General features: G+C 43.2%; 1 protein-coding gene and 1 long non-coding RNA gene across 13 annotated transcripts in view; one reads left to right on the top strand and one right to left on the bottom strand.

Moving 5' to 3' along the window:
• ANXA4 (annexin A4) overlaps positions 1–14,967 on the bottom strand; it is a 183,305-nt gene that overhangs the window by 26,558 nt on the left and 141,780 nt on the right. For 10 of the 11 annotated variants that reach the window (XM_047444083.1, XM_017003943.2, XM_024452835.2 and 7 more), the window contains one exon: positions 12,414–12,501. The exons of the other annotated variant lie outside the window; for it this stretch is intronic. In XM_047444083.1, the coding sequence (XP_047300039.1) occupies positions 12,414–12,501 (88 nt within the window). The remainder of the gene's footprint in view (positions 1–12,413; positions 12,502–14,967) is intronic. 11 annotated transcript variants of the gene reach the window in all.
• On the top strand, positions 1,557–11,006 carry SMANTIS (SMARCA4 interacting SWI/SNF chromatin remodeling complex scaffold lncRNA). Of its 2 annotated transcripts, NR_164153.1 has the most exons (4): positions 1,557–1,767; positions 6,334–6,482; positions 6,752–10,351; positions 10,629–11,006. It is a non-coding gene; the product is annotated as an SMARCA4 interacting SWI/SNF chromatin remodeling complex scaffold lncRNA (long non-coding RNA). The 2 variants fall into 2 exon arrangements; NR_164155.1 differs by lacking the exon at positions 6,334–6,482 and having other exon boundaries at positions 10,119–10,290.

Genomic DNA, 14,967 nt, shown 5'->3' with positions numbered 1-14,967 from the left:
CCCCTCCTGTCACTGTTATATTATGAATTAATCATAGTTATTTTTGTGCATGCCTTAGCTGTGCTAGTATTCATAGACTATTTGAACACAAGAACTAGGGATTATAATCCTTGTCTTCTCCAACAGTCTGCCTTGCATTGGCCCACACATAACAGGCACTGAAAAGGGGTTGGTTGTGCCAAATGTCTCCTCACCCTTTATGCTGATAATTCTGAATGTAACATGGGCTACATTTTGAATTATGGTGTCCTTGTAACCAAAGAATTAGGATAAACTGAAAAAAAAGGTGGGTCCTATGCCTTTCTCTTTTTATGAAAAAGGGAAAAGAAGAAGATACATAGATTCAGGACAATGTTCTCTTCAGAGATGGGCAGCAGCATAGAACAGTGGCTTGAACTCCAGCTCTGGAATCAGACTTGAGGCAGCTGATCATGCAAAGATGAAAGGAAAGTGTTCTAGGAATTATCTAGAATCCTGAATATACCACTTAATAGTTCTGAGACCGTGGGCAAGTCAGCCAGCCTCACTCACTATACTTTACCTTCTCAACAGTAAGACAAGCTTCTGTCAGGATTAAAACAGATAACCCATGGAAAGCATCTATCTCTATGTCTGACACATAGTAGAGCTTAATAAACATTTTCTATTATTGCTACGGTTGTTGTTACTGTTAGCAACATTGAGGCTGAGTAAAATGAATTCTTTTTGGATAGAAAGATGGTCTCATGGTCAAGTGTTTTTACCCAAATCTCAAGGAGATTCTAAATAGCAGCTAAGAACCAGGGGATACTTCTCTGGCCAAAAGTCTACTGAGACAAGGTCTTGGGGGCAGAGGCTAGGCCAGGTAGTTTGTGGTGCACATAGAATCACTGTACCTACCCAGCATGAAGGTGTTGGCCCCCAAGGAGCTAACTGGAGGGTAGCATGCTGGAAGACACTACCAGTGTTATAGGAGGCAAAAAGAAATTATTTAGGTAGACATTTAGGGTAAAGTGAGTCCCCAGCAGAAAACTTTCCTTTTAACAAAAAGCAGCTCAAAAATAGCTCCCTTTCTAACCACACACAGTTAAAAAAAATCACTTCTCTTCTAACAACAAGTAACCTGAAAGTTCAGGCTGTAAAATACAGATAAGACAGCTCAAGCACAGAAGAAGGGGTGGAAGTCTCCTGGGTAATTGCCAAACTTCACACTTATACAATGGGCCCCAGTAAAACAGTGGGTCTTAATAAGCACATTCCTTTCCCTTTAGGTGCACTAAGATAGAGAAACTAAAAGCAGACTCATGGGGCGGATGCCTGCAGCTGCAAGAAGATGTATGGGAACAGACACAGAAACTCTCCCTCCCAGATAAGCAAGACAAAGAAACACAGACTAAGAGTCAGCCTATGTGGTCAGGGAATGGGATAAAAGCTGATAAAAAAAATTCTGCTCTATATAGATAGCACACTTGGTCGCAGCTAAACCATCAGGCCCTAAGAGGATAAGACATCCCCTCCTCATGAGGCCCCTCCTCCCTAGACCATTTATAAAAACCCTGACATTTTTACTACTGCTTAGCAACCTGCTCGGGACCCCTCTCTGTGACTGTGAGCTGTTCTGTTCTTTTGCCTATTAAACTCCTGCTCCAAACTCACTCGATGTGTGTGTGCATGTCCTTGACCTCAATATCTGGTCGTGTGACCAAGAACCTCAGTATTCACCCCAGACAACAAGGCTGCTTCATTTTGAGGGCTCGTCTGGGATTTGAAGGTGACTTCATCAGAATGGTGAGTAAAGGAGCGGACTCTACTTTCACTTCCGAGGCTTCTTGTCCTCCGTTTTTATTCTCTCAAATAACTATCAAAAACACCGGGCATCTGACAGCTGATTAAGGAGCCACAAGGGCTGGCCACCAGTCTTGAAGACTCAGATGTGAGGCTTGCTGGGGAGGACCTGCCCTCAGGGTGCCGGGAATGTTGGCTGTGTCCAAACTAGTTTCTTTTCACAGAAAGCCTGGTTGTTGTATGGGGCTGGAATAGGTCCTGGAGCAACTGAGAATTTCTGGCCAGGGCCACACCCTGGTGTTATTCAAAAGGCTCCTGGACTGACCCCAGCCTCTGATTGCCTGACTGGGTGTCAGCCATAGGATCTCCAAGTTTTCCTATTGCAAATCTTATTTTCCTCCTTTCCTTTCTGCAGTCACCATGTCTCCCATCTCCTCTCTGTATGCAATGCTGCAGGAATTTTTATAGCCCAGGAAATAATTCAATTAGGCAGGTTTAGCAACCACCGTAGTAACCAGGAATGCAGGTTAAGGGATTGCTGTTTTTCTGACTTTTTACAGACAGGGGAATTCCATGATCCAGATCTCAAAGACTATTTAACTCCTAATGATAATACTTCCTGGGGTTGGGTGGGAGGTTATTTTCCCCCCAGTAAATGCCCCTCTGTCCACTTAGGCTGTTTCTTTTCCCATGTGAGGAACCAGCACTGTCCAGTCGGACCGGATAGCCCCTCTATGAGGCAAACTAACTTTCTCCTGTTAGGAGGTATGCTGTGGGGACAGCATGCCACAGGTCAGACTTCTCTCTCCATCCTTTGTTTAAAGAGCATATGGAGGCAAAGTTACTGCCTGGTATTCCACTAGCACCACCTAGTAAAATGGGAATCCTCTCCATGAGGAATCTTGTCTGCCCTTTGCTAAAAGTCTCTGGCTTTTCAGTTCTCCTCCCTTTTACATCCCTCTAATAGAGACCAAACCTTATGCCCCCTCTGCAAGTGGGAGAACTCTGCTTTCAGCAGCAAGGAGGAACATGTCCTCCAAAACCAAATTTTAGTCTCAGTACTCTCTCTGTTAGCAGGAAGGCCACCATTTGACCCTTACGTTCTCTGAAGACACCCATTCTGCCTACAACTAGAATGGCATCTAAATAGAAAGGGGATTTTATGTCTGGAAGTTAACCGGAACCACCACCTAAGAATAAATCCTCTAGTCCAGTCCATAATAGCAGAGTATAAAGCTCATTCCAGTACACTCCCTCTATTAAGGGGCCTTGCTTAAATGCAAGTGTTACATTATCTCTCCGGAGATCCATTTATCAAGAAGCCACACAGGTCACACAGGTCTAGGAGGTCAGAGAGTAATTACCCAATTATTAGGCAGAGGACTGAGGTCATATGGGTAAACATGACTAGCCCATTGATTAGGTCCTCTGGTATTACGCTTGGGGGTCACACCTGCAACCATGGGGCTGCAACTATGGTGCTGGGACCCGGGGACCAAGGAGGGAGAACAGCCAGGAGGACTCTCCTACTGTGTCCCCTCCTCCCTGAGTCACATTGAAAAGAACCAGGAGACCGAGGAAACCTCTATTCTTGTCTCTTTTGCAGATGGGTAACAAGCCATCTTCAGCCGGCACTCCTCTGGAGTGCATTCTGAAGCACTGGGAGTCCTTTGACCCTAAAACTTTGAAGAAAAAGCAGCTCATTTTCTTTTGCAGAAGGGCATGGCCTTCTTACTGTCTCAGGGATGAACAGACATGGCCAGCTGAAGGGAACCTTGATTTTAATCTTATCCATCAATTAGATCTTTTCTGTAGACAGGAGAGCAAATGGTCCAAGGTCCCCTATGCACAGGCTTTCTTTGCCCCGCGAGACAACCCAGACGTTAGCAAGCACTGCACAATTGACTCAGCTCTCTTAGCAATCATATCAGGCGGGTCTGTGGAGAGTAATTCCCCTAAGTTAGAAGAGCAAGTTTTGCAGGAGCCATTGGGGGCAGCTTCTAAGTGCCCCAGTCCTTCTAGTTTTCCTAATCTGGGGCCCCCTCCAACTGCACCATCAGCTTCTCCAGCTTCACCATCTCCAAAGCTCCCCACTGCCCCAGCTTCACTTCTACCCCTACAAGAAATGCCAGATGGAAGGGGCACCCCTAGGGTACATGTTCCCTTCTCATTACAGGACTGTAGAAAAATAAAGGGAGACTTGCGCCGATTTTCTGATGTCCCTAATAGGTAGACAGAGACCTTCCAAAATCTAACTCAAGTGTTTGACTTCACATGGAGAGCTGTTATGTTGCTTCTAAGTCAAACCCTCACTGCAGCCAAAAAGCAGGCAGCTCCTGATATTAGAAGGAAACCACAAAAACAGGCTATAGGACCAGATAGTACCTTGGAAGATCTCCTGAAGGTGGCCACCTTGGTCTTTTACCATAGGGACTGGGAGGAGCCCCAGGAGAAAAAGAGAAAGTGACTAAGGCTCAAGGAGATGCTTTGCAGGCTTGCAGAGTCCAGGATCCTCAGGAAGCATCCACTAATTGCTACTGGTGTGGCAAGCCAGGGCACTTTAAGAAGAATTGCCCAGGCAACAAGAAAAAGCCACCTTGACCCTGTCCAGCGTGTGGTGAAGACCACTGGATATTAAACTGCCCCTGGATATGGAGGTCACTAGGTCCAGAACTAGTCTCACAGATGGTCCGGCAGGACTGACAGGTCCTAGGGCTCAGACCCCTGGCTCCAGTGGCTCAGACTGCCATCACTGTTCAGGAGCCCCGGGTGATTCTGGAAATTGAAGGAAGGAGGGTGGGCTTCCTCCTGGATACTGGAGCCAGTCTCTCTGTTCTCCTGTCCAATCAAGGCCTCCCCTCTTCCCATAGCACAACCATGGTGGGTGTCTCAGGAAAGACTCTAACCCAATATTTCTCTCACTGTAGTTGGGGGGAACTTATTATTTACACATGCCTTCTTAAATATGCCTGAAAGTCCCCCCACTCCTTTACTAGGTAGAGATATTTTAGCCCACATGGGGGCCAGCATCCTCATGGCCCCAGGACAAACTCTTTGTCTTCCCTTAGTGAAAGCCAACATTAATCCAGAAGTGTGGACAACTCAAGGAAGAATAGGTCAAGCTAAAACTGCTAGGCCAGTTCAGATCCGCCTTAAAAATCCCACTTCTTTTCCTAACCAGAGACAATATCCTCTAAAGCCAGAGGCCAGGAAAGGGCTAGAAGCTATTATTAATAACCTAAAAATGCAGGGCCTCCTCAGACCCTGTAACAGTCCTTGCAACACCCCGATACTAGGAGCATAAAAACCCAATGGGGAATGGAGACTAGTTCAGGACATCTGCCTCATTAATGGGCCATAGTCCCAATTCATCCGTTTGAGTCCTTGCTGACTCAAATACCTGAAGGAACTAAATGGTTTATAGTCCTAGATTTAAAGGATGCCTTTTTCTGCATACCGTTACATCCTGACTCTCAATACCTGTTTGCCTGTAAGGATCCCTCCGGCCAGACCACACAGTTAACATGGATGGTGCTGCCTCAGGGATTTCAAAACAGCCCTCACTCATTTGGACAAGCACTGTCAAAGGACCCCTCTAAGTTTTCCCGTCCTCAGGTCAGGGTCTTGCAGTATGTAGATAACACTTTCCTCTATGCCCCAATCAAGGAAGGCTCAGGAAGATGCTAAGACTCTCCTTAATTTCTTAGCTGAAAGGGAGTATAGAGTCTCAAAATCCAAAGCTCAGCTCTGTCAGACTTCAGTAAAGTACCTAGTTCTGGTCTTATCAGAAGGGACCAGAGCACCAGGTGAGGAAAGGATTAGGCCCATTTCCTTTGATAGTTAGGGAAATTCTTGGGCATTACTGGATTTTGTAAACTGTGAGTACCTGGGCACAGGGAAATGGCTCACCCTTTATACCACCTCATAAAAGAAACTCAAACAGTTAAAACTCACCCCTCTCTCTTTTGGGAACCTAAGGCTCAAAAAGCCTTTAACCAGCTAAACCAAGCCTTCCTGGCTAACACGGTGAAACCCCGTCTCTACTAAAAATGCAAAAAAAATTAGCTGGGCATGGTGGCAGGCACCTGTAGTCCCAGCTACTCGGGAGGCTGAGGCAAGAGAATGGCGTGAACTCGGAAGGCAGAGCTTGCAGTGAGCTGAGATCATGCCACTGCACTCCAGCCTGGGCGACAGAGTGAGACTCCGTCTCAAAAATAACATAACATAACATAACATAACATAACATAACATAACATAACATAACATAATATAACATAACATAATATAACATAACATACCAGCCCTCAGTCTTTCCATGGGGAAAGCATTCAGTCTCTATGTAACAAAAAGGAAGGAAATGGCCCTGGAAGTTTTAACTAAGGCTTGAGGTCCAGCTCAACAGCCAGTGAGTTACTTAAGCAAGGAACTTAAAACTTGGTGGCCAAAGGATGGTCAGCCTGCCTCCAAGCAGTTACAGTGGAGGCTTTGCTGGTGTCAGAGGCCACTGGGTTAACCATGGGAAATAACTGTTTAACCCCACACAATGTAACAGGACTGTTGTCCTCTAAGGAAAGTCTCTGGCTGACAAACAATTGCCTCCTCAAATACCAAGCTTTGCTGCTAAAGGGATCTGCAGTCCAGCTGAAAACCTGCCCTTGCCTGAGCCCAGCCACTTTCTCCCAGAGAAAACTGGAGAACCTAAACATGATTGTGAACAGGTAAGTGGAGCAAACTGGGTAAAAGAAATAATAAGAATTACTGTTTGCATTCTTTGTAAAGTTTTAATTAATGAAAAAGGATTTTCTTAAAGAGCATTCAGCTTAATTAAAAGTGGATATCCAATCAATGGGTATATTTAAAAGGCCTTTATGTTTTTCTCTTCATAAATCTTCTTAAATAAATCTTCATAAATCTGGAAACTTTTTTTTCTCAGTTGACTGAATTGCTTTTTTTTTTTACTGTGTCTTGCCACTCTTGGTGCACCTAGAATGGCTTCCGGTGGCCTGGGACTCCTTGGGGAAACAGAAAATGCACCACAAATCCCATTTTAGGAAAAATCTGTTTTCCTCGGAGCCCCTGGAATTAAAGGTGAATAAATACCTCTCAAAATCGTCTTTGTCTTCTGGCTATGCTTGCTTATTAGGCCCTGGAAGCTGTATTCCTAGCTCTGTTCTGAAAGAACCTCACTCAGAGGCCAATAATCCAATTGGGACATTGGCAAATGCAAAATCTTATAACTGCTGGATCTTCTTCTGTTTGTGTGGTTATATATGTGTTACTTGTGTAATGCCTATTAAAAAAAGGAGCTCTAATTAATTGGCCTAAGAAAAATAAGCGCTTAAATCAAACATTTTTAAGGGAAAAGTAAAAGCTGTGGTACCTTTCAGTTCATGTGACTTTAATCTTTAAAAATAAAAAGAGTCTTAGGAATTATTGGTAAAATACAAATGTCTTCAAGGTATAAAAATGTGGTCTAAATTATGCAGGTCAAATACTAGTTTGCTAAATGTTTTAAGGTTGTAAACTGCTTTTTTTTTTTTGAGATGGAGTCTTGCTCTGTCGCCAGACTGGAGTGCAGTAGTGCGATCTTGGCCCACTGCAACCTCTGACTCCCTGGTTCAAGTGATTCTCCTGTCTCAGCCTCCTGAGTAGCTGGGATTACAGGCACGCGCCACCACATCCATCTAATTTTTGCATTTTTAGTAGAGACGGGGTTTCACCATGTTGGCCAGGATGGTCTCGATCTCCTGACCTCGTGATCCGCCCGCCTTGGCCTCCCAAAGTGCTGGGATTACAGGCAGGAGCCATTGCGACTGGCCATAAAACTACTTCTTTATTTAGCCTTTAAAAACTATCAACGTGCCTGCTTCACAATTGGTAGCACCTGGGAACATACGGAAGCAACCAAGCCCCTAACTATGCTGAAAGGAGTCAAACATTATCTGCATCCAGCACATAATTAAAACAACCTAACAGGTTTTACATTAAAGTTAAAAATTACTAAAAGTTACCATTATAACATGTGATTGAAACTACTGAACATGGAATTACATGGAAAGTGTGTAAAAACAGTAAAAGATGTTTTTATTTAAAGATTATAAGAGGGCATGGAAATGTATATTTTGCTTAGAAATAAAGAATTGTCTTAAAGTAGAAGGTTTAAGCAAATTGTAAAAAAAAACTGTAAAAATCTTGCAAAAAAAAACACTGCGTGTAAACATATTAACTAAATGCAAAAGGGCATTATATGGTTTTTTTCTGTAAATTAATCACTGAAATAAAAGCACAGCAAGGTTTTCTTAAAATGCTAATCTACTCTTTAGCAAAACTTGTCAAGGGTTATAACAGGTATGTGAAAATCTCACTTCATGGTCAAACTGGTTAAAATTAAATAGGATTGTCTATAATGTTTCATTTAAAATTAAGTTTAACATTAATAGCAAACTAATGCAAGGGTAAAATTTAACTTTCTCTCTTAACACGGGATTTTCATGGAATAGAAAAGGCTAATGAATGGTTTTTGCTTTTTCAAATTTCTGGCTCAACATTTTGGCAAAAACAAAAACTTTTGGTAATCTAAAATTCTATTTCATAATATCAAGTGTTTTAAATTTTAAATATACTTAACAGGCTTCCCAAAGTCAAACTTTAGTCTCAAGTCTGTCTTTCCTAACCCCTGGCTTTTGGGTGCTGCAGAGGACCCCTGAAGCATCTAGAAGAGAGGTAAACAGTATTATTTAACATGTTGAGGTACATAAAATTGCCAAAATGATGTCTAATACTCTTCAGGTTATACTTTAGGGAATAATATTAACATGTGTTCCAAAACTGTATGGGATGTCTATGGTTCTAGTGTCTGAATATGTGCTATTACAATTAAGGTTGTTATGCTGGGTTTTTGAAAAACACAAAAATAACCAAATTTCTTTGTCAATTGTATTTCTGACTGTATCCAAACTGGACATTTTGTCATTTACAGACAATTGTTGTTTTGTTTTAATTCTCTTCAAAAGATGGTTCATAATCAAGCCATGGGACTTTAACAAGTTCTCTCCAATGCAGGTTTGTCATGACCAAAAAATGTATGGGACTCATAAAAGGCTAAAATGTTTATAAATATCAAAACAAAAGTTAATGGAATGAACTGAACTAATAGAAAACTAAAGCAATATTCTTCACTTATTCTTAGAACACGGCTAATCCTTATTTTATTTTTTAGAGTCAAAAAAACTTGTCTTAAGCTAGCTACAGCCTTTGATAACTAAGCAAAGTGTACTACTATAGGCAAAGTTTGGAGCATGTTTATGTCTCTCTGCCTAATTCCTGTAGAATTTGGAAACTAGTTATAAATATTCTTAAATTACAACAATATAGTTGTTTGAATCAGTGCAGCAAGAATCCATTTTCTCTTGCAACAAAACACAATTGGAAAAACTGGTTGTTTTACCAAGGCTTTGACTAGAAGGGTATATTTCCCTTTAAGGAATCAAGCTTAACTTGCTGAGCCAATAAAAGCCCCTGGGGAAAACTGGCCTCATATCTGTCTACACAGTCTCCATACAGGGTTCCTGACCTGCAGTGAGTAAAGAATGTCACTTTCTAACAGGCCTAGGAACCCCATGCTTCTGGAACCTCAAGAAGGAAAAAAATTTATCCAACTCACAGGTATTTAAAAGTACAAACCTATGGCTGGGCTTGGCTTTAAAAAGTCCTATCTAAAATTCCTCATGGAACAAGGTTCCATCAAAGCCAATCTAAGAGGCTTATGTAAGGATGATTATTCTTGCTGTACTTTATGCAAATAATTAGGCCAAGTATAGGACTGAAGTCTGTTTTGCAAACAACTCAGTCCTATCATAGATTATTTTTAACAAAAATGAGGACTAGAGAAAGAGAAATTATGTTTTAAGACTTATCATACATCTGTTATTAACCTGTAGTCCCATCAGTTGTTTTTAAGTTCTTGCCTACATTTTAAACTAACCCTGCTTACTCCTGTCAACCAACCAGGAATCTCTGGCTGCAGCTCAGAGAAAACAGAAAGGCATCGGTAATAGAAAAATCTGGAAACATGTTCTAGTTCTGGGCAATTATCCTACAAATCCTGCCAGGTAAACTAGAACCCCAGGGTTTCTCCCTTTTTTGGGAAAGTAAGACCAAGGAAGCTAAACAAAGCCAAGCCCCATATACCCACTTACAGCAGCACAACCCATCTGAATGGCTCACAGGTATCAAACAAACTCTGTTGTCATGGTTACGGCCTATAGTGCCCCCATTAATAATAGTAATCTTAATACTCATATTTAGAACCTATATTCTAAACCTCCTTGTGAAGTTTATCTCTTCTCGCTTAGAAACCATCAAGCTTCAGATGGTGCTGAAAATGGAGCCGAAAATGAAACTGCCCTCCTACGAGGGACCCTTAAATCAACCCCAGGAGGAGCCCTAGCTGCTGTTCCCCACACAACGCCACTCTCCAGCAGGAAGTAGCCAGAAGAAATCGTCACCCAGTTTCCCCTAGCAGCAGTTATGGATTTCATTCCTGAGGGGGGAAATATGTTATAGGAGGCAGAAAGAAATGATTTAGGTAGACATTTAGGGTAAAGTGAGTCCCCAGCAGAAAACTTTCCTTTTAACAAAAAGCAGCTCAAAAATAGCTCCCTTTCTAACCTCATGCAGTTCAAAAAAAAAGCACTTCTCTTCTAACAACAAGCAGCCTGAAAGTTCAGGCTGTAAAACACAGAGAAGATGGCTTGAGCACAGAAAGGGAGGGGGAAGTCTCCTGGGTAATCACCAAACTTCACATTTACACAGTGGGCCCCAGTAAAACAGTGGGTCTTAATAAGCATATTCCTTCCCTTTAGGCGCAGTAAGATTGAGGAGCTAAAAACAGACTTGGGTGGATGTCTGCAGCTGCAAGAAGATGTGTGGGAACAGACACAGAAACTCTCCCTCCCAGATAAGCAAGACAAAGAAACACAGAATAAGAGTCCATCTATGTGGTCAGAGAATGGGATAAGAGCTGATTTAAAAAAACTCTGCTCTATATAGAAGGCACACCTGGTCCCAACCAAACCACTGGACCCTAGGAGGATAAGACCTCCTCTGCTCATGAGCCCCCTCCTCAGTAGCCCATTTATAAAAACCCTGACAATTTTACTACCACTTGGCAACCCGCTCGGGACCCCTCTCTGTGATGGAGAGCTGTTCTTTTCTTTTGCCTATTAAACTCCTGCTCCAAACTCACTGTGTGTGTGTCTGTCTGCAACCTCAATCTCCTTGGCCATGACACCAAAAACCTTAGTATTTACCCCAGACAACAAGGCTGCTTCACCAGCCTTCTCACATTAAATTCCACACATTGCATGTCGGTGCTGTCACAGCTGTGTCTATCACCACAGCAACAAGCAGACGGACTCAAGGCAAGAATGTGGACTTAGTGCTGATGACCCCGAGCTTGAGATGGGATCTGCCTAGTGTGAGCCATGGCTCAGTTTCACTCACTGTGCGACTTGGTGAGAGTTACTCGGCCTCTCTGGGTCTCAGTTTCACATCTGTAAAATGGGGCTAAAATAACAATAGGAATAGCTGCTTTCACTAAATCACAGGTTGTTGCATATATCCAATGAGATAATGTCTGTGAAACTGCTTTGTAAATCTGTGGCACCATATACACACCAGCACTAATTGGAAAACAAATACATTTCTAAAATTTAATATGCAGATTCATGATGTCGTAATTCAAAGCAGGTTTAAACAATAGGGGAAATCCATAATGAGTATATTAAATTTATCATTCTTTATTAAAGTGAAGAACTAATGCCCCTCCCCATCCAGTTTGTCCCAACTTATCTCAACTTGTTCCATGTGTTTTCTTTCCCTCCCTCCCTCCCTCTCCTCCTTCTTTCCTTCCTTCTTCCCTTCTTTCCCTCTTTCTTTTTTTTTTTTTTTTTGAGATGGAGTCTCGCTCTGTCGCCCAGCCTGGAGTGCAGTGGTGCAATCTCAGCTCACTGCAAGCTCCACCTCCCGGGTTCACGCCATTCTCCTGCCTCAGCCTCCTGAGTAGCTGGGACTACAGGCGCCCGCCACCACGCCCAGCTAATTTTTTTGTATTTTTAGTAGAGACGGGGTTTCACCGTGTTAGCCAGGATGGTCTCGATCTCCTGACCTCGTGATCCACCCGCCTCAGCCTCCCAAAGTGCTGGGATTACAGGCGTGAGCCACCGTGCCCAGCCTCTTTCTTTCTTTTTTGAGATGGAGTCTCACTCTGTCTCCCAGGCTGGAGTGCCATGGCGAGATCTCAGCTCACTGCAACCTCCACCTCCTGGGTTCAAGTGATTCTCCTGCCTCAGCCTCCCAAGTAGCTGGGATTACAGGTGTGTGCCACCACGCTTGGCTAATTTTTTTATTTTTAGTCTAGATGGGGTCTTGTCATGTTGGCCAGGCTTGTCTCGAACTTGTGGCCTCAAGTGATCTGCCCACCTCAGCCTCCCAAAGTGCTGAGATGACAGGCATGAGCCCCACACCCAGCCTCCCTTGTGTTTTATTAAAGGAAGACCCACGTGATGGCCAGCAGACATGGCACCCTCCTGTGTGACCCTGTGATGTGCAATGCACGCAGGAGGATTCACTTCCAGCAGGACACATACCGAGCCCTTTCATGGCCTTCCTCAGGGTCTGGGCATCTTCCATGGCATTGAATCCTGAAGCAGCTTTGACAGTACCTCCTTTGGTTGCCTGAGCACACAAGAGAGTGATGTTACTGAGAGGCAGCCTCTCACCAACACGGAGGCATCTCATTCGGCAAACATTTGTTGAGCACTGACCATAGCCTAGATGGTATTCTAGGTGCTAGGGGTACAGTAGTGACCATGAAAAATTAAGCTCTTGCTCCCCGGGACTGATGCTCTAGCTCATGGGAGGCAGACAGTAAACAAGCCAACAATTCACAATTCCATAAAGTGCCTAGGGGTGAGCATTGCTGTGAAGCAGATAGAGAGGTCCTGCAGGACCCATTCTGAGGAGTGACATTGAGGTTAAGAGCTGAATGAAATGAAGCAGCTGCTCATGCAAAGATGGAGGCAAGGGTTACAGGCAGAGGAAACAGCTCCTGCAAAGGTCCTGAGGCCGGAACTAGTTTGTAGGGAAAGCAGGACAGAGGCCAGTGTGGCTCAAGTTGGTGGGCAAGGAGTGGGGGGAAGACAAACTACACCAACGTGGAACCCTGTTCTCCCCAAAAGGGAAAAATATCAAACCTGAATCCAGTCAAGCCTCTAGAGCCAAAAACAAATTTCCAGTAAACAGGAGAAAGGAGAATGTTAAACCACACCAAAGGGTTGCAGTCAGCAAAATCCAGACTCTCAGACACAGCACTTAAAAAACGATCTAGTTTCTTCGACAAATAAATTGCAAGGAGAATTTAAAGAGAGAGAGATGGAAGGGAACTACAGTTTAAAAGATATGAAAAGGAACATCAATGATCATAATGTGAACCTGTAGTACCATAATTTGGATCCTAAATTAAACAGTAAAAAGCAAAAGACATTTATGAGACGATGGAAATTTGAACATTGACTTGACATTTGATGACACTAACGACTTGGTTTTAACATTTTTAGGTATAAGAATGGCATTATGGTGATATTTCATTTTTAAAAGAGGTTTAATCTATTGAAATAGTTTACAGATGAAATGAGATGTCTTGGGTTTGCTTCAAAATCACACAGGTGGAGAGAAAGGGGAGGAAGTGGATATAAAGAAGAAACAGGCCGGATGTGGTGGCTCACCCCAGTAATCCCAGCACTTTGGGAGGCTGAGGCAGGCAGATCTCTTGAGCCCAGGAGTTTGAGACCAGACTGGGCAACATGGTGAAACCTCATCTCTACAAAAACATACAAAAAAATTAGCTACACATGGTGGCACAGGCCTGTAGTCCCAGCTACTCAGGAAGCTGAGGTGGGAGGATCTCTTGAGCCCAGGAGGTGGAGACTGCAGTGAGCCGAGATCATACCACTGTGCTCCAATCTGGGCGACAGAGTGAGACCCTGTCTCAAAAAAACAAAGACAAAAAACAGGAGTGACCATGAGTTAATAATTATTGATAGGTACACAAAGGGGTTCCTTATAGTATTCTGTTTACTTTTGTATATGTTTAAAGTTTTCCATAATAAAAATATTTAAATAAATGAATTAAAAATAAAAAAGAAGGAAATCAGAGGGGTGGGCTGGGGCCAGAGCAAGGCAGCCCTTCAAACCAGGTAAGGAGTTTGTATTTTATTCTAAGTACAGTAGAAAGCCACCGACAGGTTTTGAGAAAGGAGATAGGGACATGTGATCTGACTTATCTATTTAAAAGATCCCCCTGGGCTGCTGTAGAGAGATGCAGAGACCATTTGAGAGCCTGGGCCAAGATCTGGGGGTGGGATATGAGCTAGACTAGGGTGAAATAGTTAAGATGGAAATAAACAGAGGAACAGACAGCTCAGCACATGTTTTGGAGCAAAGGCGACAGAACTTGCTGATGGACTGACGTGGGAGGTGAGGAAAGAAAAGAATCAAGTATAACTCTAAATCTTTTCCCCTGAGCAGCTGGGTATCATTTACCCAGATGGAGAAAACTGGAGGAAGACTACCAGATTCAGAGTGGCAGTGTGGAGTGGGATTTAGACGTTCTATGTTGGAAATGTTAAGTTTGGGATGTCCATTAAATATCCAAGTGGAATTGTCAAAAAGACAATTGGTTATACGGTATAAGTCTAGAGGTCACATCCAGTATAATAAAGTCGGGATGCATCAGCATTTGGGTGGTACTTGATGAAATGACCTGGAAAGAAAGTGAAAATAGGGAACAGGGACTTAGGATAAGCCTGGGTCTCTCCAACAGTACAGGTCCAAAAGGGGAGAGCCCAGAAAGGATGGCTGAGAAGGGGTGGTCCTTGAGCTCATAGGAAATCCAGGATCGAGCACTGTCCAGAGGCTGAGGAAGGAGGGAGTAGTTGGCGCTTGGTCTAAGAAGCTTAGTGGGAAGGAGCATAAGCACTGGAGTGGGGTATGAATCTTATCTTTACCTCTTTCTAGCTGTGTGACCTGGGGACGTTTCATTTTTCTCACTTGTATGTTGCGAATAATAACTCACAGAAACAGGATAATACAGGAATGCACTTAGCACAAAACCCAGAAAAAAGTAAACACTAAAACAAAAAC

This window comes from Homo sapiens, chromosome 2, assembly GCF_000001405.40.
Source record: "Homo sapiens chromosome 2, GRCh38.p14 Primary Assembly".
NCBI lineage: Eukaryota > Metazoa > Chordata > Mammalia > Primates > Hominidae > Homo > Homo sapiens.
The sequence above is the reverse complement of the archived record's forward strand: the minus strand, read 5'-3'. Positions and strand labels throughout refer to the sequence as shown.